This window comes from Homo sapiens, chromosome 15 (genome assembly GCF_000001405.40).
Source record: "Homo sapiens chromosome 15, GRCh38.p14 Primary Assembly".
NCBI lineage: Eukaryota > Metazoa > Chordata > Mammalia > Primates > Hominidae > Homo > Homo sapiens.
Window position 1 is genome coordinate 60,484,908 of NC_000015.10, and position 22,831 is coordinate 60,507,738.

Genomic DNA, 22,831 nt, shown 5'->3' on the forward strand with positions numbered 1-22,831 from the left:
TTTCTAAAATATATTTAGATATGTTCTGTATTATGTGGCCCCTGGGCTGAAAAAAACCCCAGAAATCATTGTTCACTTGAAAGATGGTCTTTTATAGCGCGTAAGTGTTCTACAGAGAGAAGTTGATAACAGAGATAATTCCAAGCAGAATAATTTAAAAATTGTATTTGTCTTTAGAATGCAGTGTGTGTTTTATCAGAGGAGTAGAGAGAGAATGGTAGAAGGGGTGGGTATGGGGCTTGTTAGGAAGTCATTATAATAGATTTTGGGTGAGGCTAATATTAAAGTTAATTTTTGTCCTTCAAGCAAAGAACAATTGATAGATGATATAGCTTCTTCCCCACAAAAGGGAAGTTATCCTGGAATTAAAAATATTGTTTGAGAAGTCTATCAAGTGGTTAAATAACAAATGGATTACTGAGATGACTGTATTATACTGGAGTAGACAGTTCCCCTCCCAAGGAGAAAAAAATCTAGAATCAAATTAAATACAGGAAGACTGGTTTCTCTCTTTCCAACATGAGAGATAAGTGACATTAGAAAAAAACCAAGAGTTTTCTTTAGCTCACCACCGGTGGCAAAGTGAAAGGAGAGAGCTCCTGTTAATCTCCTAGAGTGACGCTTCTGCCACCACTGGGAGTCCATGCTTGCTTCAAAAGCTGGGGGCAAGGAGTAGAAGCAGTAGGGGAGCCATCAGTGTGAATCTGCTGGAATCTAGGGGGGTTCTCTTGACCAGATATTCCCTTCTCATCCTCAAGTTCCCGAAATCCCTTTAGCATGGAAGTATCTTTTTTTCTTCCTGTCTCTGATGACTTACATTACATTAATAATCTCTTTTGGACCATGGTTTTGAACACCACTGGGCCCTATCTTCAATTTCTTATTCAAAAGGGGAAGCCAAGGTGCTTAACTGCATCTCAGCACAGCAGCAGCTATCTTTCCTACCACCATGCATGTGGCTCGGTGTTTTCACAGACCTGTTAGGAGAAGCTGAGGCCTCTGCACCTGCCCATTTGGTACAAATGCACGTTAGATATGAAGTCCGCTTTTAAGGGGCTAGACTTGACCCTTGCTTCCTCTTGCCTCATGAAGAAAAGTTTAGTAGTAACAGTAGCAACTAAGACATTCTTGAGGTCATGTCTTACTGACCAGTCTATGGTTATTACTTTTGCTTTCTTTCCTAGACTTTATTAATAACCTGACATTTGTTATCCTTTCTGCTTTTCCTGTGAGATCATCAGGAACAGAATTTTAAGAAGTCTCTTCTATATTCCCTTTTACCCTTTTTGAAACTGAGCAAGCTAATCCAGGATAAAGAGGTGGCTGAAAATCATTATTTTTGGCAAAAGGAGTTTAGGCATGAGTTTGGGCAGAGATCTAGAGGTGACAGATTACATATTTTAAACTCTGTTTTCATTAACTCTCAATTTCTGCAGACACCGGAAAGTGTAGTGTTTATAATTATGTAGAACTTGATGGTCTACAAAGATTTCACATGCATAATATTTCATTCTTTTTTTCTGAGGTAGTTGAAAATAAAAGCAGGATTAGGGATTGTTTACTACTTGCAGCAACTTTGGGGAATAATTCGGATATTTATTGAATGCTACTGAGTGCAGGGGATGCTTAGGCATTATGGTATGTGGAGGAAAATGCTAGCTCAGTTGCCTTTATTCTGACTTCAGAGTATTTTATAATTTGAATGTCCTTGATATTACATTGAAAATAATTGATGATGAGGTTTTTGCACCATTAAAATGGTGTAATACTAAGCTGATGCTAAATTTATGGTTCACCCCTAAGTAATTTACTCAAAAGAAAGGGTGGGAGTGGGGCCATGACACTGCAGGTAGTCAGAGACTCTATTAAAAGTCTTTGGCAACATTTCTACAATTCAATTTTAATGACTTCTAAAGCAAAAATGACAATCTATGCATTCAGGATTTCTCTCCTTCTGCACTCAGGGAAGATAGGACTAATCAGTCATGGCACCCTTTTCCTATGAGACAGGAAGCAACTTCAGAATTCTCAGTTCTGCATTTCCAAGAGTGACTGTCAATCAGTGGGTGTTATCTCACAAGTTAATACCTTTTTCTTTGCCTTCTCTGATCAAAAGGGTTGCTTGATCCTTTTAAACATTATTTTCCCTGCAAAATGGCAGCAAATAATTTTTTTTTTTTTTTTGAGGCAGAGTCTTGCTCTGTCGCCAGGCTGGAGTGCAGTGGTGCGATCTTGGCTCACTGCAACCTCTGCCTCCCAGGTCCAAGCGATTCTCCTGTCTCAGCCTCCTGAGTAGCTGGGACTACAGGCACGTGCCACCAGCCTGGCTAAATTTTGTATTGTTAGTAGAGACAGGGTTTCACCATGTTGGTCAGGCTGGTCTCGAACTCCCGACCTCGTGATTTGCCCATCTTGGCCTCCCAAAGTGCTGGGATTACAGGTGTGAGCCACTGCACCCAGCCAATAATTTTTTAAAAAGTGCCTGGCCAATAATTTTTTAAAAAGTGCTACACTGGCCAGGCGCAGTGGCTCATGCCTGTAGTCCCAGCACTTTTGGAAAGACGAGGTGGGCGGATCATGAAGTCAGGCGTTTGAGACCAGTCTGACCAACATGGTGAAACCCCGTCTCTACTAAAAGTACAAAACTTAGCCGGGTGTGGTGGTGTGTGTCTGTATTCCCAGCTACTTGGGAGGCTGAGGCAGGAGAATCTCTTGGACCTGGGAGGCAGGGGTTGCAGTGAACCAAGATCGCACCACTGCACTCCAGCCTGGCGACAGGGCGAGACTCCATCTCCAAAAAAAAAAAAAAAAAAGCCAGGCACGGTGGCTCACACCTGTAATCCCAGCACTTTGGGAGGCCGAGGCTGGCGGATCACCTGAGGTCAGGAGTTCAAGACCAGCCTCAACATGGAGAAACCCCGTCTCTACTAAAAATACAAAATTAGCCGGGCGTGGTGGTGCATGTCTGTAATCCCAGCTACTCAGGAGGCTGAGGCAGGAGAATTGCTTGAACCTGGGAGGGGGAGGTTGCGGTGAGCCGAGATCTCCCGCCATTGCGCTCCAGCCTGGGCAACAAGAGCGAAACTCCGTCTCAAAAAAAAAAAAAAAAGGTGCTGTGGTATACACCGGTGCTTCTCACACTTTAATGTGCATACGGATCACCTGGGATCCTATAAAAAGGCAGATTGATTTAGTAGGTCTGGGTAGTGCTGGGATTATCCAGTTCCAACAAAGTCGCAGGAGATGCCGTGCTGCTAGTCTGGACCACACTTACCTACTCTCTCCTAGACCCTTCACTAGAGACAGGATGTAAGCTAGGAAACTATGTACAGTCCAATTCAATAACCAAGAAAAAAGAAGAAAAACAAGGCAAGTGTTCCATTAGAAGCTGAAGTTTTATTATAGGATAACAGTACATAAAGCACATCTAAAATTGATGTGTTCAATGCACTTTTAATAAAGGTAATGTAATATTAAAGGTACAGTTTCTAAGTACAATATAACAACATTCATATTAGAATGAAAATTGGAGTATTTAAAAGACAACATTAAATCTCTCTTTTTTGTACAGCTTGTATTTACAAAATGAATCAAAATATTTTTTTTTTAAATTCAGGACTCAATAAAATAAACAGCTGGAAATAAGCAGACTAGTGTAAGAGTGAATTGAAAAGAAAACCCAAGGTAAGTGAAAAGTTGGACGATCCTCTAATAAAGATCATTAGCAAAGTTTTAGTTCAATACTAGTTTTAGGATTCCCATAAATGGCTTGCATTTTTAGTGTGGCAGAAAAGGAGTTTTTACATACTGTACACAAAACAGACAGCATATATTTATAGGTACAGTATTACTGTTTCCAAACTTGCATGTATATTTACAGAAGGCTGAGTTTGTTTACTCAAACAGAAGTTTGTGAAATTTGTGTGCTTAATCCTCAAGACCTACACACAATTAGAATCAGCATTTCATGTGGTCTTTTTAAATGTGGCTTTAATACTTGGTTGTAGAGGAGAATGTTAACCGTAAGGCTTGGCTTACTTTGTAAATTTAACAAAACAACCCAGGAAAAACGTTTTAATTGGGGCACACTTGTTATCATTTAACAATTGTCAAATGCTGACATGTGCTAGCCATTGTGCAGACGCAAAAAGATACAATCTCTACCCTCAGGAAGCTTAGGATGCTAAATCGTGCTTTAAAAAAAAGGTTTCAATCTCTTTCCAAGAGAGGCAGTTAAGGAATGATGTGATTTATATTAAAAGAGATTTCTCCCTCAACTGTAGCCAATCCACTTTAAAAGGTTAACTACTAGCATTAGCTCTCATTAACCACACAATTGCATTTATAATTAAGGTAACAGCAACTCTTCCACAAAAATGGAAAATGTCTAGAATTGTGGATAAATATTGCAGTGCATGGAAGCCAATAATCATGGCTTGAGAATTTATCACCTTCAGTTACAAAAAGTGCAGTAAACAGAAACATTTGCTCTACATTTATAAATTGCTCAAAAATCTTTGCTAAAGATCTTACAAATTCAGTAATATTACAGAACAATTCTAATCAATATTTAATAAGGTTAACTACATCCTTAGTTAGATATTTGATAAACTTTGCTTTTCAATAATGCCAGTAGATCTTGGGAGAATGGGTAGAAAGGCTTAATTAAGCTACTTATTAAATAACTTTGAAAATGAAGGTCCTTCACTCAGTTCATGGAACTGGTTGAGGTCATACTGAAACAGAACATCCCATGTCGAATTTGCTTTATGGCCCATGTTATGGCAGAGGACGTCTCCATCCTTCTCATGACTCAGGTAGGAGGGGAAAGGTTTATTCTGCCATCAAGCCATCTAGGATATTTTATGTAAATGCCCATTATCTATAATAGGAGCTAAGAATACAACTGTGTTAGGTGCCAGTAATACAATTCCTTAATAAGAAAAAAAAGTATATTACTCCATTAAACAAGTTTCTTTAGGATCTTGAAGGCCTGGCAAATTATTTTTCAGCTTAGGAGATATGCTGTAAAGCCAAGTAGCAAACATAAAGTAAATGCTAATAAGTTTCCATATAGCCATATTTATAAACAAATTCACCCTATAGATGTCAAATATCCATACTAAGGAAGTAATTTTATCCTAATTAAATACACTCTAGAATAATTTATATAATGATATTATGTATTTAAAGAGAAAAGCATGTCCCAAATCCAGCACTCTGATACAGCTGCCAGTTGGGCATAGGTAGATATATATATATATGTATATATATACAAATATATAGTTATACTCAGTGAAATTAACAAGACCCAAAGGTGGTATTGTCTAGGAATAAAAGGGATAATTTTTGTTGTTCACAAAAGTAACTTGTCTAGCACCACACATCAGAAAAACACAAAAATAGCACACTCTAGTTCTAAACAGCTATGTCTAAAATAGATTATATAGTAAAACCGGTATTATACAGCATATTGTGGATTTGATAAACAGATAAATATTTGCACTGAGTAGGCTGTTTATAATATAACATTTTCTTATCTATACAGAATGAAAGCCAAAAAGTTAACTGTATAGAGATGTGCAGAACAACATTAAATATTATGACTCAAAAGCAGGGACAGGTAAATTTGAAAGAAGAGTAAGAGAGAAAATGTTTACAGGCCGTTACAAGTTCTTAAGTTAATAGTAAATAAGGAATCGATTGCTCAAGTTGAAGAAAGCAGTAAACAAGAGATTGCATTTACATGCAGATGTCTAAAATTTGTATTTTTTAAGTCTATGCACAAAAGTCATTTGTTTTATTGCTTGACATTCAGTTATGGCTAGATTATTTAACCTATTTTTTTTGTACTTTGGAAACAAGAATATTGTTAAAGGTGCCATAAAAATGGACAACACTGAAAACAGTTTGCAAATAAACCACCTAACACTGCAGTTCTTTATACATATTAAAAGCCTTGTCTGGGGTTTGTCATATGTTAAATATTATTTAAAGTGGGAAAATATGTTGTAGCTTGAAGCCTCCCATTGGCCCAAACATCCAATACAAAAACACATCTCCACAAAAGGAGCAGGCAGACAATACAGGTACATTTATAGAAGCAGCCAGCTAATGTCCTAATGTTTAAAAATTTACCACTGTTTAATATGAGATTTCAAACTGTGTGGATAACAGGAGAATTTTGGATTCAGGAAGATGTATACAGTACATATGGATTTTTTTTGTGAAATCATTTTCACTATATTGCTCAAGAATTATCTGCATTTACATATGCAATCTGTTCAGTGATAATCAAGTTCCTAGAAATAGTATTCATCCACATTAAAGTAATAATGATGAAAAAGGAATCACACATGAACACTGGAGAGAATTTAGTTGTTCTTAGAGAACAACATAATGGCATGTGCAACATGTCAAAGCTAATAGCAAGCTATCTTTCATTAGTTCTTAGAAGGATGAAAGTAAAAGAAGTGTGGTACTGCTAATGTGGCAAAGTACATTAAATGTAAACAGCAAACACAGATTTCCTAGGCATCTATTTAAAATATTCATATTCACTTTCTCAATATAAGACTCCATGTTATGTTGCATCACTGACAAAAGGTTGTTTCTATTTGGATTGAATATTCTGTCATTCATTTATAAATAAATGACTGAATGTATTTATTGCTCTAAGTTCTGAGGGTTTGGTTGAACATGGAGATCCCCCCCGCCCATCTAGGATGGCTACTTGGTGTGAAGTCAGGCTTCTGGATTCTTTTAAAAATTATTCTGAGAGCCTGACAACACTGATCTCACCTACACAAACAGACAGACAGACCCAGAAGTGAAACCAATTGCACTGTGGAGACATTGCTAGTCAGTCTTCTCATCTCTTAAAAATAAATAGCAATAGGAAGGTCTCTATAATACAATCTGATGGAACCTCTTTACTAACATTATGTTTAGGGATAGAATGAAGACCTGTATCATAGACTCTTACCAATAGATCAAGATTTACTGTTGCAATTGCGTTTCTGGGCACATTATTTGATCTATAATATAAAGTTGTTTTCATGGGGTTCTATATCATAACTTTATAAGAAGTGGCAATCACATGTTATGTAAAAATGTCAACGTGTGTGTGTATACACACATATACAAATACACATAGAGAGGAGAGATTTCTACCATTTTCCATATTCTTTATTATCAAAAACAACATGGTAAAGGTATCCTTTTCATCTTACAGACATGGGAAGTTTTCCCAGATTATGTTCCTCTATCATAGTAAGAAAATATATAAATCTTCTTGTGAATGTGTATCCCAAGGTGGAAGAATCAGAGCCAACAATTACATTGAACTTCTCTGACTTTATGGAAAGTAATATGTGGAATATGATAACAAAACGGTATTTCAAAAATATAACATGTAACACTAAATGTTGGCTCGAGTTGCTGCTGTCATACAGGCAGGTTTTGTTTTGTCTTTAAACATTAGCTCTTGTAATGCATCAGATATAAACTACACATGTAGAAGTAAGAATTGTTTTCCATGAAGGAATTTTTGGTTTGCTTCTAGAGGAGAACCCATGAAAACAATAGTTAATTGCTGGTATTTTAAAAACATATTTCATCTTTTACCTATATCACTGTACTGATAGGCAGGTCTCTCCTCTTATTACTGGATTTTAAAATTTTCATCCTTAATATGTAGAATTTGAAATAGTTTTTAACATATGATGCTATATATATATTTATCATGAATATTTTAATTATTAGAGAAATGGTAACTGGAATATGCAAGGACTATACTTTGAATGATGCTCTTTGCTGGTACATTATTAATTTATCTTTTGAACACACTGGCATAACTTTGCTTTGGAAGTTATTCAGTGTTTTGAAACACAAGACTGACGAGCACATCAAGTTCTAAACTCAACAAAATGAGACGAGAGTAAAGAGTTTACACACACGCAGTTCTATATAGTTCACTTGTGCCTTGGAGGGATAGTATTATTATCATTATTATTAATAATAAAAAACACAATTTGTCCCAGTAGTACTGGCCACCCTGTTTTAAGAGTTTTAGGAGATCCCTGAGCACATTGTTTCTGACTCTTAACCCCAACTCCAAAATGATAGGGCTTCTATCGTTGATACCAAGATGGATTGTCATTCACAGTAAGTCAATTATAAGGTGCTTATTTACCCTTGTTTTTCACCAGTCAGCACAAAGAACTGTCAGAAAATAACTTTTTATTATTATCTTAAAATAATAGCATTGGAAGGACATATGATTTAAACAATCAATGTTGGAAACAGTGGCTTTAGGATTATTATCTGGCTGCCCCTCAACAATAACAAGTGATTCGATCGACATTCCTTAGCCAAAAACAAAAGGCAAAACAAAAAAAACCAAAAAACAAAAAAACCCCAAAAAACTGTACAAATATGTATTTTTCCCTGAGGGATCAAGGTACACCCGCAAGTGCTCTATGTACATATTGCACTAGAGAGGAATGAAGAACATGTGCAAAAAAGCAACAATGAGAGAAGCTTACATACTACTTAAACCTTTTCATGAAAGATACTACTAGGTTGTTTTGCATTTTGGAATGTCGGAACACAACAACTAGCTATTCCTTAGTCTAAAACTAAAAACACACATTTCTACTATGGCACATTCAATGAAATAAAAAGTTTTCCAAAGACAGATAGACAAATTCCATCAAGAAAATAATACAAAGTTTGTTTGTTTGTATTTTTTTTTTTAGAAAATTACATTACTTTCTTTCTTTGTTTCACATTACAAAATCTTTTTTTCTTTACACAAATCACATTTTATTGCAGGAATATTTCAAGTGCCATCAAATATTTATAGAAGGGTTAAAAAAATAGAAGTCTCTCTAAAGTGGTCCAGACAAGGCTTTGTATAGAATAAATCTTTTTTTCCCCATCTTCTAGTTTTGATTTAAGTATTTTGAATACATTTTCTTTTCCATTGACACTTAGTAGCCTAGAAGCGGTCCGACGCACACACATCATACACATGCAAATCACACACACACACACACACACACACACACACACACACACTCCTTCCTCACCTGACCCTCAGCCCACCCCCATACGCTCACAGATAACTGGGTATCCACACTATAAAGAACAACCAAACTTAGAAGCAGTGTCTTAAGTCATGTTTTTCTTAAGTTAGAAAGGGTGAATTAGGATGCTGAAGACTTTAAAAAAAAATCCATAGCTTTAATACACGTTAAGATGCTGAACACTTTAAAAAAAATCCGTAGCTTTAACACAATTTGCAAACTGTCCAAAAAGCACTTTCATCTGTACTTTTGTTTGCATTGTGACCAAGGCCAGGTTTTTCACAATATAATAACCATTTGGACACCATTGGAACAGAAGGTATTCAGGCTTTGTACAAAAGCCTTATTTGCCTTATGTAAAAAAATTGTACAAAGGCATTGTAGCAGCGGGGCTGACAGTGATGTGGTTCCAATCCTTAAAAGACTATTGGAGACTGAAGTTTAGGAAACTTTAATTATAAAAACTATTAAGGATAATTGTTCTGATATCACCCAAGTATTTTATGTCATCACATAGGTGTTTTTGTAATAATGAAGAAAGGAAAATGCAAAGTTTTTCACATCCTTTTCTGAGCTCCATATTTTTTTTAAACTGAATTTATTGTTTAACATCAGATCCCAACTTAGATCCAAATAGTAGTCAGTTGTTTCCTTGTTTCATGGAGCATGTCTCTGTCTACAATTCCATCCTATTATGTCAATCAGTGGACTTGGCTCTTAAGCTCCACCGCTGCTTTTCTTTCAGAAACACCTGGGAAGAAGCATCATATTACCTATCTTGGTTTACCGTAAAAGCAATGTCACCATGGCATGACTATTACTGTGGTTAGAGCATGATTGTTTGTAGGTACATGCAGAATCCCTTCTGGGAAAAGGAATTTCTTTTTAAGTTCATCATTATGTTCTCTCTCACCCTTAGAGAAATTCAATTAGCTTTTATTATTTCACAAATCGACACTGGAATTAGGTTTAGTTGCTCTTTAATGCGCTAGCACCTGAGGCTGGTCATATTCAGAAAGCTTTGGTTAAAAAGAAGTTAATATACTTTAATAAAACCATCCCCAAATTTAGTGAATCTGAATGACAAAAAAACAAAACAAAACCAAAACCAAAAAACTAAAACACAAAACTCAAACAAAAACAAAACACCATTTCCCCCCAGAGGAGAAACAATAGAAAAAAAATGGATGAATAAATAACTGAACTAAGCTTGGTACTCTTTTCAGAGTATAAATACTACTGATCTTTAAAGGAACTATGCTTACTTAAATTAAAGATTTGATTTAACCCTTCTTGCCCCAATATAAATACTATATGCTGACAGTTAGCATCTCTCTATAAACACATAAAATTTTACATGCCTGTAAGAAATTTAAAGGAATATTACTCTTCTATTTATGGTTAAACTCTTACTATGTTTTTGGAAAAAAAGTTGGATGTTATTTAGGCTTCATACACACATCTGTGTGAATAATACCTTCCCCTTTTCCAAGTCCCTCAAGAAACAAGTCAGAAAAGTCAGTGGAGTTAGAAACAGAGTGAAGTGCTCTGGGAAGCCCATGCTGGTAACCTAGCATGACGTGAAGAGCTGCAATTCCTGTAGAAGATTCCGCAGGGACCCCAATGGCAGAGGAGACTATTTCTCAGACATAAAGGGCTGCATGGAAACTCCTACCTTAACACCCATCGGAGATGTTCCCTTTTCTGTACAAAATGGTCTTTGACCAGTAGTTTGAATCCCACCCCTAGTGCGACTAAAATCATCGTCTAAATGCCTACATTCCCAAAAGGTCACTTGTTTTTAAAATATGCACATCTGTTTATCAGACTATTCCTTTCCCCTTCCCCCACTAGGGATCATTAAAAAAAAAAAAACCATGAAATTAAACAAAAACAACTCAGTATTTCTCACCTGAACACACAAGCCAAATAATCTTCTAAATATTTAATAAAATAAATTACAGTCCACAGTTTCCTAGTGAAGATAAATACAAGAGTAAATGTTTGCAGCTAGCATCAACTTCACTTTAAAGGCTTAAAGTATTTAATATTTAAATAAGAGAAACTGGTTCAACATTGTATGCTTCCCTCACCCTCCTATCCATCGTTTTTCAAATATGGAGAGCAACATTCTTGAATTATAGCATCTATTGACAACAAATCTAGAATTAGTTCACTCTGAGATAAACTCATAGGGTTCCTAGATTATACCAAGAACATAAACATTCACAAAGTAAATACTTCATGTCCTCACATGGGGAGTGTGCATTTGCTCAGGATATAATCTTTGGGTCCTTCTTATAATAAAAGCTAGATTCCAATAAATATTCTGGTTGTTGATTTGTTCTCAAAGCATAAGAATTCCAAGTTGAGACCGAGTCCATATTTAACTACTGAATTGTGTAAAATGAGCTTCTCCTCCCCCTCGCCTCCATGAGGTGGCATTTTAAAAAGCTTTAAAAAAAAAAAATGAGCATGATGGTATATGTCCACCACGCCAATCAATCATTCAACTTTGTATGAAGCATAAACACATCTATCATTAAACTTACCAAAAAGCAAAGTATAATTTAGGGAGAGTTCCGTTTCTAATTCCAAATTCACATGTTAAAAAAAAAATCCAACGTGGTGATTTCTAGATATGACCAGCCAGTCTCTTAAAAATAATTTTGTAAACAGCAGCATAAATACCTCCCAACGTACCTTCCAAGCCTTCTCAGTTAAACTTGTGTTTCTGGTGCACATGCGACACGACAGTGAACACGCTAGCATTTAATTTAAAGAAAAAGGTGCAAAATGAAAGTGCCTTATCAATTCAACAGGAAAAGCTACACCAGTAACTACATTTTATATTACTTAAAACAATATATAAACAATATCTCTTTTAGCTATATATAGTCTTCATGCCCATTTACCCTGTAATATATTATAATGCTATTGTTGCTACTGCTATGGACCCTTTTCATGCCATCCTGCGGACTGGCAATAATCGGTGAAAAAATAAAAACTTCCTTCATGAAACAAAGAGCTAGTTGTGCAAAGTAATGCCGCAACCTCCGCTATGCACACCAGTCACCGATTATTGCTGGACTCTCTGTTGTTACTGACAGATTGGTGACTCTGTAGAAAGTCTGTGGGCAGTGAGCTACAAGAAAAGGAAATCCTCCGACTTTAGTACCCTCCTCCTGTTGTAAACAGAGGTCAATGATCAAGAAGTCAAGACAGAAAAAGGGTCCATATCTGTAGGCATAATGGAAATCATATGCATGAGAAAAACAAGTTCAACTTTTATTTGTTTTCATTGTTTCCCCTCCTTTGCCTGACCCCGATCACCAAAAGATGTGCAGTGTGTGGCGCTCCAGGTCTGTGCAGGGCCATATAAAGTGTCTCGGTTAATTTTTTTGTTTGTTTTTCATGTTTGTACTTCAGACATTCTAGAAGTGCTTAGGTGATAACATTTACCCATCAATTTGCATTGCTGGCTCAAATTCTGAAGTGAACAACTCCTTGTATAATGGAGGAAAATGAAGTCGCACAATGTCTGGGTATATTGCTTTAAATGCCATTAGCTTTTCTGTATGTCGTCCACATAAGGCTCTTAAGGTAGACACCTTGCATATTAACTGTAAGTGAAAGAAAGGACACACCGTCAGGCAAGAACAGGCATAAGCATCAAAGATCAGGGAACCTGAATGATCTTTATGACATTGTTTATAATGGTGAAACACACTTAAAGCAACTTAAACATCCAGTAGCAGAGGATTGGTAAAAATAAATGATGGCTGGGCGCGGTGGCTCATGCCTGTAATTCTAGCACTTTGGGAGGCCGAGGCGGTTGGATTGCCTGAGCTCAGGAGTTCAAGACCAGCCTGGGAAACACGGTGAAACCCTGTCTCTACCTAAAAAAAAAAAATTAGCTAGGCATGGCAGCGTGCGCCTGTAATCCCAGCTACTCGGGAGGCTGAGGCAGGAGAATTGCTAGAACCCGGGAGGTGGAAGTTTCAGTGAGCCGTGATCGTGCCACTGCACTCCAGCTTGGGTGACAGAGCAAGACTCTGTCTCTTAAAAAAAATAAATAAATAAATGATGATATAGTCATGTCATAGAATGCCAAGTATACATTAAATATGATTTTCAAGATGAATAATTCAATAACTAGAAAAGATGTTCATAAGCAAAAGTTGGCACAGCTTGTCAGCAGCAGACTCATACAGAACCCAAGGCTCTTGACTTCTTCTACTCCAAGATGCCTTCTGCTCTACTTCCTGGAATCCTGCCTTCTACCACTGTGCAAAAAGATGTCTAGTGATGGAGAAGCGGGTGAGGGGCAGTGGTGGGTGGGTAGTGAAGGCACTGCAACTGGAAGTGATGGCATCCTCTACACATTTTATCCAGAACTGGCACTAGTCAACTCCGATAACTACACGTTTCTTTTCGATAAGGAGTTTTGCCTGTAATAAAGCAATGCTGGGTCTGAGCAAAATAATAGAGTCAGAAGGCCTGGATGGAGGCCCTAGCATTGACCATTTACCAGCTGAGGGTAATGACACAATTTGCAAAATTACTTTTAGATTCCAAAGCACCTCACAAAGGCAAACTGCTTATTATTTTAACCCAGAATAACCTTCTCTAGGAAATGTTTTCACCAGATCTTGTCCACATGTTAAGTGCTGTTTATAATCAGAGATCCTAATGGTACTCTTGCATTTGGGCAAAGAGATGGAGAGTGAAGCTCCTGACAGGGCTCCTCCCTTCCACTTCCCATTCCTGCCCGTTTGCTCATTTAACAGGTGCAAAATCAAAAAGCAAAACAGCAATTAACCCCCAGTTACCCCTTTCTGGTCTAACATAGCTATAAAGGAGAAAAAAAAAAAAAACAAGCAAACAAATAAACAAGAAAACAAAACCAAAAACTTCTCACATCATCTCACACAATAAAATACATAAAATAAGAAAGAACAGGGCTGATTGTTCTAAGACCAAATACATACTACTAGCAATGGCACTGAAGGATATTAGCACATTTAAAAAATTGACATTATAATCATATTTATTGTGAAAGATAATGATTGGTAAAAATGAAACCTTATGCTTTGAATACAGAGTAGTGATGGGAAATTGACAAAAATGCAAAAGTCATTTACTGTTGATGACTAGTGAATTTAATGGAAGTAGAACTAATATTAGTATATATGGTCATCCTGATTAAGTCTTTTAGTCCTTTATAACTTCTTCCTAAATTCAAAGATTATAGGCTGGGCACAGTGGCTCACTCCTATAATCTCAGCTCTATGGGAGGTGGAGGAGGGAGGATTGCTTGAGGCCAGGAGTTCGAGACCAGCCTGGGCAACATAGCAAGATACCCATCTCTACAAAAAATAATTAATAAATTAGCCAAGTGTGGTAGCACATATACCTGTAGTCTTAGCTACTCAGGAGGCTGAGACAGGAGGATCTTTTGAGCCCAGAAGTTCAGGGTTGCATAGAGCTATGATTGTGCCACTTCACTCCAGCCTGGGAGACGGAGTGAGACCCTGTCTCTAAAAAATTAATAAATTCAAAGATTATTTTTACAGTTTATGTCAGTGCAGAATATTAACTCTGCTTTATGCCTAACTTTGATGGAAGAGAATTTCTAGAATGTAACTTTTTTTCCTACATTGCCTTATTGCTGCAGGACACTTTGTAATCAACGATAGTAAGTATAATTTAGACTGAATAATGAGCTGTGGCTCAACAGAATTTTTTTGAAATGGAAATTTATTTCTTTTTAGTAGCCTGTTGCCTTCTGATACTTTTGGGAATTGGTCATATGACTTACATGACCATATTGGCAGCATGATTTGTGCCAGGGGATAGTTCAGGCCATGCCAACTAGAAGCCTTTGGCACTCACCTTTGTTAGTATTCCATCTTCTCGGTGATTCTTCTGTAGGACGTGTTGAAGAGCTAGCTGAATTTTCTGTTGCAGTTTTTCAATTTTTACCTTTTCTTGCAGCCATGAGCGATCTAAGCATAAAAAAATGATATTCTTTAGCATTCCTCTGACATGGTGTCAGGATCCTTCTTCTCCGGATTCTTTTGATACGGATAATTATATCACAATGAATATTTAGAGACTCAGAGGCCAGTTTCACTCCTCTTTCAAAATTTCTCCTAATGGAGTGAAAAGTGATCCAAGGAAGTTATAAAACAGGGTGTTAAACCTTTCCATTTTTACCAATACTTAAAGGAAGGATCCTCCCCTTCCAAAGGATAAACAATTAAATATGAGGCCATACTCATATGAGTGCAAATGAAACCATCATGGCCCCTCGAGACGTTCTAATAATTATACTTTGGAATGAAATATTCATTATCGATCCTGCTAGCTTTTTTGAAAAATAGGAAAGTTTTCTTGTAATCTTTGTCAACTAAAATTGTCAATAGAATTCCAACTGACTTAAGGGTTGTTAATTTAGGATAAAGTCTTTATGTCTAAGTCTTCCAAATAGAAGGTAGTAACTTAGCAAAAGTGATTATCCCCAAACATGCACTACTGGTTGAAAACACAGATTAAATTCAGATAATCTAGTGGATGACATCTAAATGGATTTTAACAAAAAAATAGGATGTCTTAAAAATCTTGTTATCCTGGAGACTGGTGTTAAGACAGGCAACCCTATTCCACCACAGCATTTCTCTTGGTATCAGGAGGTTAATTCTGGACTGGATTTTGTTCAATTCTCATTTCTTTACATTTTGTCTGAAAGGCATGAGGTTTTCTCAAAAGAATATATGTTTGTGTTGGATGGGTGGAAAAGAGAGGGTGTTATTTGAAGACTTAAAATCCAATTTAATAAGGGTGGAGACCTCTCTTAGTAGCTCCCAAATATTTTATAGCTATTAAACGTATGGGCCTTGTAAAAATTCTTTATCTTAGACAATTCGAAAACCATTTTTATTTTTATTTGGTTGTCTTACCTGCTGACATCAGTACAAATGCAGAAAATAATGCAATTTCATCTTCAGTCAGGTGCATAGAACATAAACTCTTTCCAAATTCAAACACAAAGCTAATAAAGTCTTCACAACCTGCCAAAATGAAAACAAAGACAGTTTAGAATTTTGATTATTGTCTTAGGAGAAAAACCTAGGTCTTAGGTTTTCCTAAGGTTCTCCTAAGTCCAATAGAAGGTCTTAGGAGAAAAACATGGGGAAGGTGAAGAGAGATCTAGTGGTTGAAGATCAGAAGGAATAGTAGTAACATTTCTACAGTATAATAGTTTAAAATCTTAAAAGAAAAATCTGTTTAGTCATCACCACCACTTCCATCACATCACCATTGCCACTGTCATCCTCATTGAAAATAATGAGATTGAACTTTTGTTGTGTGACTACTGTGGCAAGTATTGCTCTAAGGTATTTCTTTGGGTTTCTTCTTATTTTAAAACAGCTCTATGAAGGAGGGATTATTATTATCCCAATTTTAGAGGTAAGGAAACTGAGACTTGGAGAGGAAAGTAATGCACCTAAGGTCACACAGGTAGAAAGTACAGCCTAAGAAGAAGCAAAGCTAGGCTGACTGATTTCAGAGCCTACACTTTTAACCTATAGAGTCTAATAGCCATATTCTAACTGATATGTTAAATTAACTCATTTTTGTTTTCAACTCTATTTCATCTGAAACATCCTTAAAAATGTTAACAAATGACATATTCTGGTGGTAAAACTATTATAACTATTTACCAACCTGAAAACACAGAATGTGAAAGTCCCCTAGAATAATAATCCGTTTTCCAAAAGACTGGTTAAGTTTGGTGTCTATTCCTTCAGATTTGCATATTTTACATATAAATGTATATATTTAAATGACAATGTGCTACATGACAGTTCATTATATATATCATCTGTCATATAACTTTTAAAAAAATCACTCATTTTAGATACTTATCCATTCTTCTTAATAACTATGTTCATTTTATTTAAATTATAGAAATCCAAAATTTATTATTAATTATTCTGAGACAGAGTCTCAATCTGTCACCCAGGCTGGGGTGCAGTGGCATGATCTCAGCTCAGTTAAACCTCCACCTCCCGGTTTCAAGTGATTCTCCTGCCTCAGCCTCCTGAGTAGCTGGGACTACAGGCGTGTGCCACCATGCCCAGCTAATTTTTGTATTTTTAGTAGAGATGGGCTTTGCCATGTTGGCCAGACTGGTCTCAAACTCCTGACCTCAGGTGATCCGCCTGCCTTGGCCTCCCAAAGTGCTGCTATTACAGGCATGAGTCACCGCACCTGGCCCCAAATTATTTATTATAAATTATATATCATGGTTTCACTTAACTGTAACTTTTATTTCTTTGATATCTGCATTTCAGTCTCATTAATGGTTACTGTTTGAGGGGGATGGAAGGGCAAAGCTTTTGCCCTTTGCTTAATTTTATGTATCAGCTCACATCCTAAAGGTCATCCGAATAATATATCACCAGCAAATCTGGTTTCTTAAAATCTGGAAGGGAACTGGAAGGACACGTCATATAAATCCCTTTGATTACCAACTAGATAAAATGAAACTCTACATCTTTACAAGTAATGTAGACAAAAAACTTTTGAGCTATATGACTTTTCTACAGTGACTAACTAGAAAGTAAAATAGGTATAAAACCCCTTAATTTTTGTTTCTAAATAAAGTTTTCATTTTGTCCAAGCAGAGCTTTCACTCAACCCGCATCTTTTCCTATAGCCCTGATTTGAAGAAAAGGCACCTTGATATCCCCTTACCTAAGGATTTGAAGACGTCGGGGCTGGCATACTTCCCATCAAAGTACACGGTGTTGTTCTGAGAGTCAAAGGCACGGCACATTCTGATAAACACCACCTCTAGAGAACCTAAGCAGAGGCAGAAATGGTTTGGGTCATTTGGGTCATCTGATGTTAGTGAGTTTGTTTCTAAGCTGCTCATGTAGAGACTCCTTCTGCAACAGCATGGTGGGTGTCGTGTGCAGTTTAGCTAGCGGGTTCTCAGTCACATCAGCTGTCTATCCAAAAGGGCAGAGTTTTCTATGTAATTAAAAGACTGTTGTGCTGAAGCTAAGCCCTGTTTAACTGAAGTGAGGGTTGATTTATAAATTACTTCCTTAGCACTCTTCTACCTCGCAATGCAGAGTCTCAGAGTTGCTAGGAAAGCATTTATTCATATGTACTAAAACCAAGAATCAAAAACAAGTATATCTTTCTGAGTTCTACTTTCTTCTTCCTAACATCATAAACTCGGAGGACTTGGAGTGTAGAAACAAAACACACGTGATGGGAAAATTTGGGAATGTAGGTGACCTTCAAATTAATCTTTTCACCCAGAAGAGAAGAAAAGTGGGGGGAATGTTTCCTGAATATATCTTAAAACCTTTGAAAAGAACTCCATTTCTGCTAAGAAAAACCTGAGCTATTATCATTGGAGAAAAACTGTTCCCGACACCTTCCTTACCAAGCATTTCTTTAATAAGCGGGTGAAAGCAGGTTAGGAAGAGATCTCAAAATTCACTTGCAAAGCACATACCTGCTTTTAGAAGCACAATTTGATCATTTTGACACAGTTCCATAAATCCATCAATGCGTTTGGCAAACTCCACCACATACTGTATAGCTTCTGTAATTTTGATGGCACACAATTGCCACATCACCTCCCGCTGCTGTTAAAGAGGGAAACACATTAACATCCTCCAGGAAGATGTTAGCTTTTGTAGCAGAAGCTGCAGAGTTATGAAAGCAAAGCATGCCACTGCTTTAGCCCTGGGCCACGAAGAGTGGCAAAGTGGGATCTTATTTTATTTTATTTTATTTTTGAGATGGAGTCTCGCTCTGTCACCCAGGCTGGAGTGCAGTGGAACAATCTCAGCTCACTGCAACCTCTGCCTCCTGGGTTCAAGTGATTGTCCTGCCTCAGCCTCCTGAGTAGCTGGGATTAGAGGCACCTGCCACCACACCCAGCTAATTTCTGTATGTTTAATAGAGACAGAGTTTCACCATGTTGGCCAGGCTGGTCTTGAACTCCGGACCTCAAGTGTTGTCTGCCTGGGCCTCCCAAAGTGCTGGGATTACAGGGATGAGCCACCGTGCCCGGTCTGGATCTTCTTTTAAGTAATTATTTTGCCTTGGGAAATTTAACACCACTTTACTTTGGGGGAAGGGAGAAAAGGAGAATCAACTGAATTTATTGTGCACCTACTATGAGCTAGGCGCTTTATGACATCCTTGTTTTAATTCACTTTCATAAGAATATTTTTTCTGGCTGGGCACGGTGGTTCACGCCTGTAAACCCAGCACTTTGGGAGGCCGAGGCAGGGGGATCACTTGAGGTCTGGAGTTCAAGACCAGCCTGGCTAACATGGTGAAACCCTGTTCCTACCAAAAATACAAAAATTAGCCAGGCGTGGTGGTACACACCGGTACTCCCAGCTACTTGGGAAGCTGAGGCAGAAGAATTACTTGAACCCGGGAGGCGGAGGTTGCAGTGAGCCGAGATTGCGCCAGTGCAAGTGTCAGCTTGGCGACAGAGTGAGACTGTCTCAAAACAAAACAAAACAAAAAACTGGTGGATATGGGAGCCAGGATTCAAATCCAAGCATCTCTGACTCTAAAATCCTATTTCATATACTTTGTTGCTTCTTACTGTTTTCTTGCTTCTCCTTTGTAGCTTTGGCTGCTGGCATTACCTGCTACCTCAAAGGCAAACAAAGCAATGTGTTGCTATTCCCCAACATGTCCTGTTAAATTCCTTTTATATTCGCACTCTCCATTTCAGTTACAGAATGGTCTGGATCTTTTTCGTTGCTAACTTGTTTCCCCAATCTTAGTTTCAGACTGTTCCCACCGATATGATGGGGTGGAAGAAACACTGAATTAGGAGCCAGGAGTCAAGGTCTGGTCTTGATGTTTCACTCTCCAGACATGCCAGTGGATGTTAGTTTTCCTCAAATGTAAAATGGATTCACTTAGATAATCTTGTTGATCTGGGTGTTTTACAGAAAAAGGCAAGTAGGGTACTATTTGTCAGCCTCATATTGCTAGGTTCAGACTGGAGTTATGATCACAGCTTCTAAATTTTTTTTGTATATACTCCCTAATACAACTTCCAGAAACATGAGGCTTCCTTGTCAACTTCCAGAAACATTAGGCTGAGATTATTTTACATAAACTTCCAGACCTTAAAATCTTGATTGTGATATTGAGACAATTCTCAATTCATTTAGACTTTTGGAAGCTGCTTAATCTATTCTCCTGTTGACAAATGGAAGGAGGTATGTGTATACCTAGAAAGCACAATAGAAATTATTTGCTATTGCTGAAATTTTGCATCTGAGTTAAATGGCAAAGCCTCAAGTACATTAGTAGCTTCAGAAAAAAGATATTTAAACAGAAACCTGATGACATTCATTCTTTAGTCTGTGTGAACTCTTGACCAACTTTCCTATACCAACACCCTTCCCAATATTGCCTCAATCCTAGGAGGAAAAATTCCTCAGATCATACCTTGTTTTGATAGTTCTCAATTTCTTCCTGTAAAAAGGTCTGCCACGTTATCTGCTGGAGCTCTTCTCTCAAGTATTGGCAGGTTTCCAGATGCGATTTAGATATATTCTGTGCAAGGTGTTCTAAGGAGAAAACGGGAGATCACAAACACGAAAAGCGAAGTTCTTTGAATAATTGGTGATTTAATATTTGCTTTAAGAAATAACAAGTAGAAAACAATGTGCTGTGCGAGTTTTGACTGTCTTTACACATTTAAACAAGTAATTTGGAACTGTTTTGTATTTGGGAACGTGAAGGAGGACAGGGACTTTGCAAAGCCAGCATTTGAAGATAAGACCTGCTGACTTCAAAGACCCTCCTGACTTTGCCCTTGTTCTGTGCCTTTATACCAATGTCTAGGAATGAAAAAATATTGACCTAGATAGACATAGGAAATGATTGACGTGGTGCTTCTTCTTGGCATTTTTATGAAGACACATCTGCCACATAACATTGACCTGGGAAGGATTATTCTTATTCTTGAAAAACTAGAAAATGATATTCTTTTATGGTGACAACTAGGTATTTCTTTTGTTTTTCCTGCAAATTGCAGAACAAGCATTACTGAGGGCCTACCATGTGGCTATGCATAGTGTAGTTGTGAAGCCACATACTCTGGAGCTAGACCATTTGAGTCTGTATCTCAGCTCTGCTGCTTACTAGCTGTGTGATCTCGGGTATGTTATTTAACCTCTTTGTGCTTGGTTTCCTCATTTGTAAAATGAGGGAAATGGTACCTATTTCACAGGGCTGCCATGAGAATTAAAAGAGTTGAGCCCTTAGAATGGGGAGGATTACTTAGAATGTGCTACAGAATATTAGTTATTATTATACTTGAGCATAAGGAGTTTGAAGATATGAAAGACCTAGAGGCCAAAGAAGTTTTCTCTAGGAGCTTGTAATCTGGTGAACACGTATGAACACACTGGAAGGACAATTCAAGTCTAGATAATAAGGTATAAAGTTGAATTACAGAAGAAGAGAAAGAAAAAAGTAATTGAAGCTGTCAGAAAAGGAAGAGATTGGCTGGGTGTGGTGGCTCACGCCTGTAATCCCAGCACTTTGGGAGGCTGAGCTGGGCAGACCACTTGAGGTCAGGAGTTCAAGACCAGCCTGGCCAACATGGTGAAACCCTGTCTCTATTAAAAATACAAAAAAAAATTGGCGTGGTGTTGGCTGTCTGTGATCCCAGCTACTTGAGAGGCTGAGGCAGGTGGATCACCTGAGGTCAAGAGTTCGAGACCAGCCTGGCCAACATCATGAAACCCTGTCTCTACTGAAAATACAAAAATTAGCTGGGCGTGGTGGCGGGTGCTTGTAATCCCAGCTACTTGGGAGGCTGAAGCAGGAGAATCGCTTGAACCTGAAAGCTGGAGGTTGCAGTGAGCCGAGATCACACCACTGCACTCCAGCCTGGGCAATAGAGCGAGACTCCCTCTTAAAAAAAAAAAAAGAAAATTATATCTGGGGAAATGGAACAAGCAGTTTTGTGCTTGGTGTATTGGAGCACAGAGAAGCTCAGGCAGGAGGACCACATAGAAGGCTGCTAGAATCTAGATGCCAGGAACTAACAATTTGGAGCAGCTTGGTAATAATTGTTCTGGAAGGGAAGGATGATTAAAGAAGTATTTTTTAAAAGAATTGACAAAATCCCATGAATATAAAACCATATCAAAAAATGATCCCTCTCCCTAGGGTTTTGAGTATAGAATAGGCAAGTCATTTTAAAAGAACGGTGCTGAATGCAAACTTGGCAACACTAGGGAGAATATCTTTTTGTTTGGAAATTTGTTACTGCTTTTGTCAAACAGAAGCAGACTTGTTTGTGTGAAAACAGAGCAGGTTCACCTAAATGGAGCTGGAAACCAGAATCTCCTTAGAGACACTGAAACATAATAAACCTGAATGGCCCTACTTGGCAACACATAGACACTAAAACAGCATGAATAAATAACATAAAAAATAAAACACAAATAAAAGAACAAATGTAAAGGAAAGAATGAGAAACTGAGAGTGAGAGAGAGAAGCCAGTAAATTACATGTCTTAGAATCAATGACGCTGGAGAATAGGTGAGTAAAGACAAAAATAATGGGGAGTAAGAAACAAGAAAATACATAAATAAGGTAGTGAACTACCTCTTTTGGAAAGAACTCTCACTATATAAGGTCGTTTCTAGAATGTAAACCAATTT

The 22,831-nt window shown here is 37.5% G+C and overlaps 1 protein-coding gene and 1 long non-coding RNA gene across 15 annotated transcripts in view; one reads left to right on the forward strand and one right to left on the reverse strand.

Moving 5' to 3' along the window:
* The window catches only part of RORA-AS1 (RORA antisense RNA 1), a 151,462-nt gene that overhangs the window by 5,730 nt on the left and 122,901 nt on the right, over nucleotides 1–22,831 (forward strand). For 3 of the 4 annotated variants that reach the window (NR_120342.1, NR_120339.1, NR_120340.1), the window contains exon 2: nucleotides 3,617–3,684. The exons of the other annotated variant lie outside the window; for it this stretch is intronic. This is a non-coding gene — a long non-coding RNA (RORA antisense RNA 1). The remainder of the gene's footprint in view (nucleotides 1–3,616; nucleotides 3,685–22,831) is intronic. 4 annotated transcript variants of the gene reach the window in all.
* RORA (RAR related orphan receptor A) overlaps nucleotides 3,377–22,831 on the reverse strand; it is a 741,019-nt gene continuing 721,564 nt past the window's right edge. For all 11 annotated transcript variants that reach the window (NM_134261.3, XM_047432928.1, XM_011521875.3 and 8 more), the window contains 6 exons: nucleotides 20,601–20,722; nucleotides 18,628–18,760; nucleotides 17,853–17,960; nucleotides 16,052–16,162; nucleotides 14,985–15,097; nucleotides 3,377–12,712 (listed from right to left, as the gene is read on the reverse strand). In NM_134261.3, the coding sequence (NP_599023.1) occupies nucleotides 12,548–12,712; nucleotides 14,985–15,097; nucleotides 16,052–16,162; nucleotides 17,853–17,960; nucleotides 18,628–18,760; nucleotides 20,601–20,722 (752 nt within the window). In that variant the 3' untranslated portion in view covers nucleotides 3,377–12,547. The remainder of the gene's footprint in view (nucleotides 12,713–14,984; nucleotides 15,098–16,051; nucleotides 16,163–17,852; nucleotides 17,961–18,627; nucleotides 18,761–20,600; nucleotides 20,723–22,831) is intronic.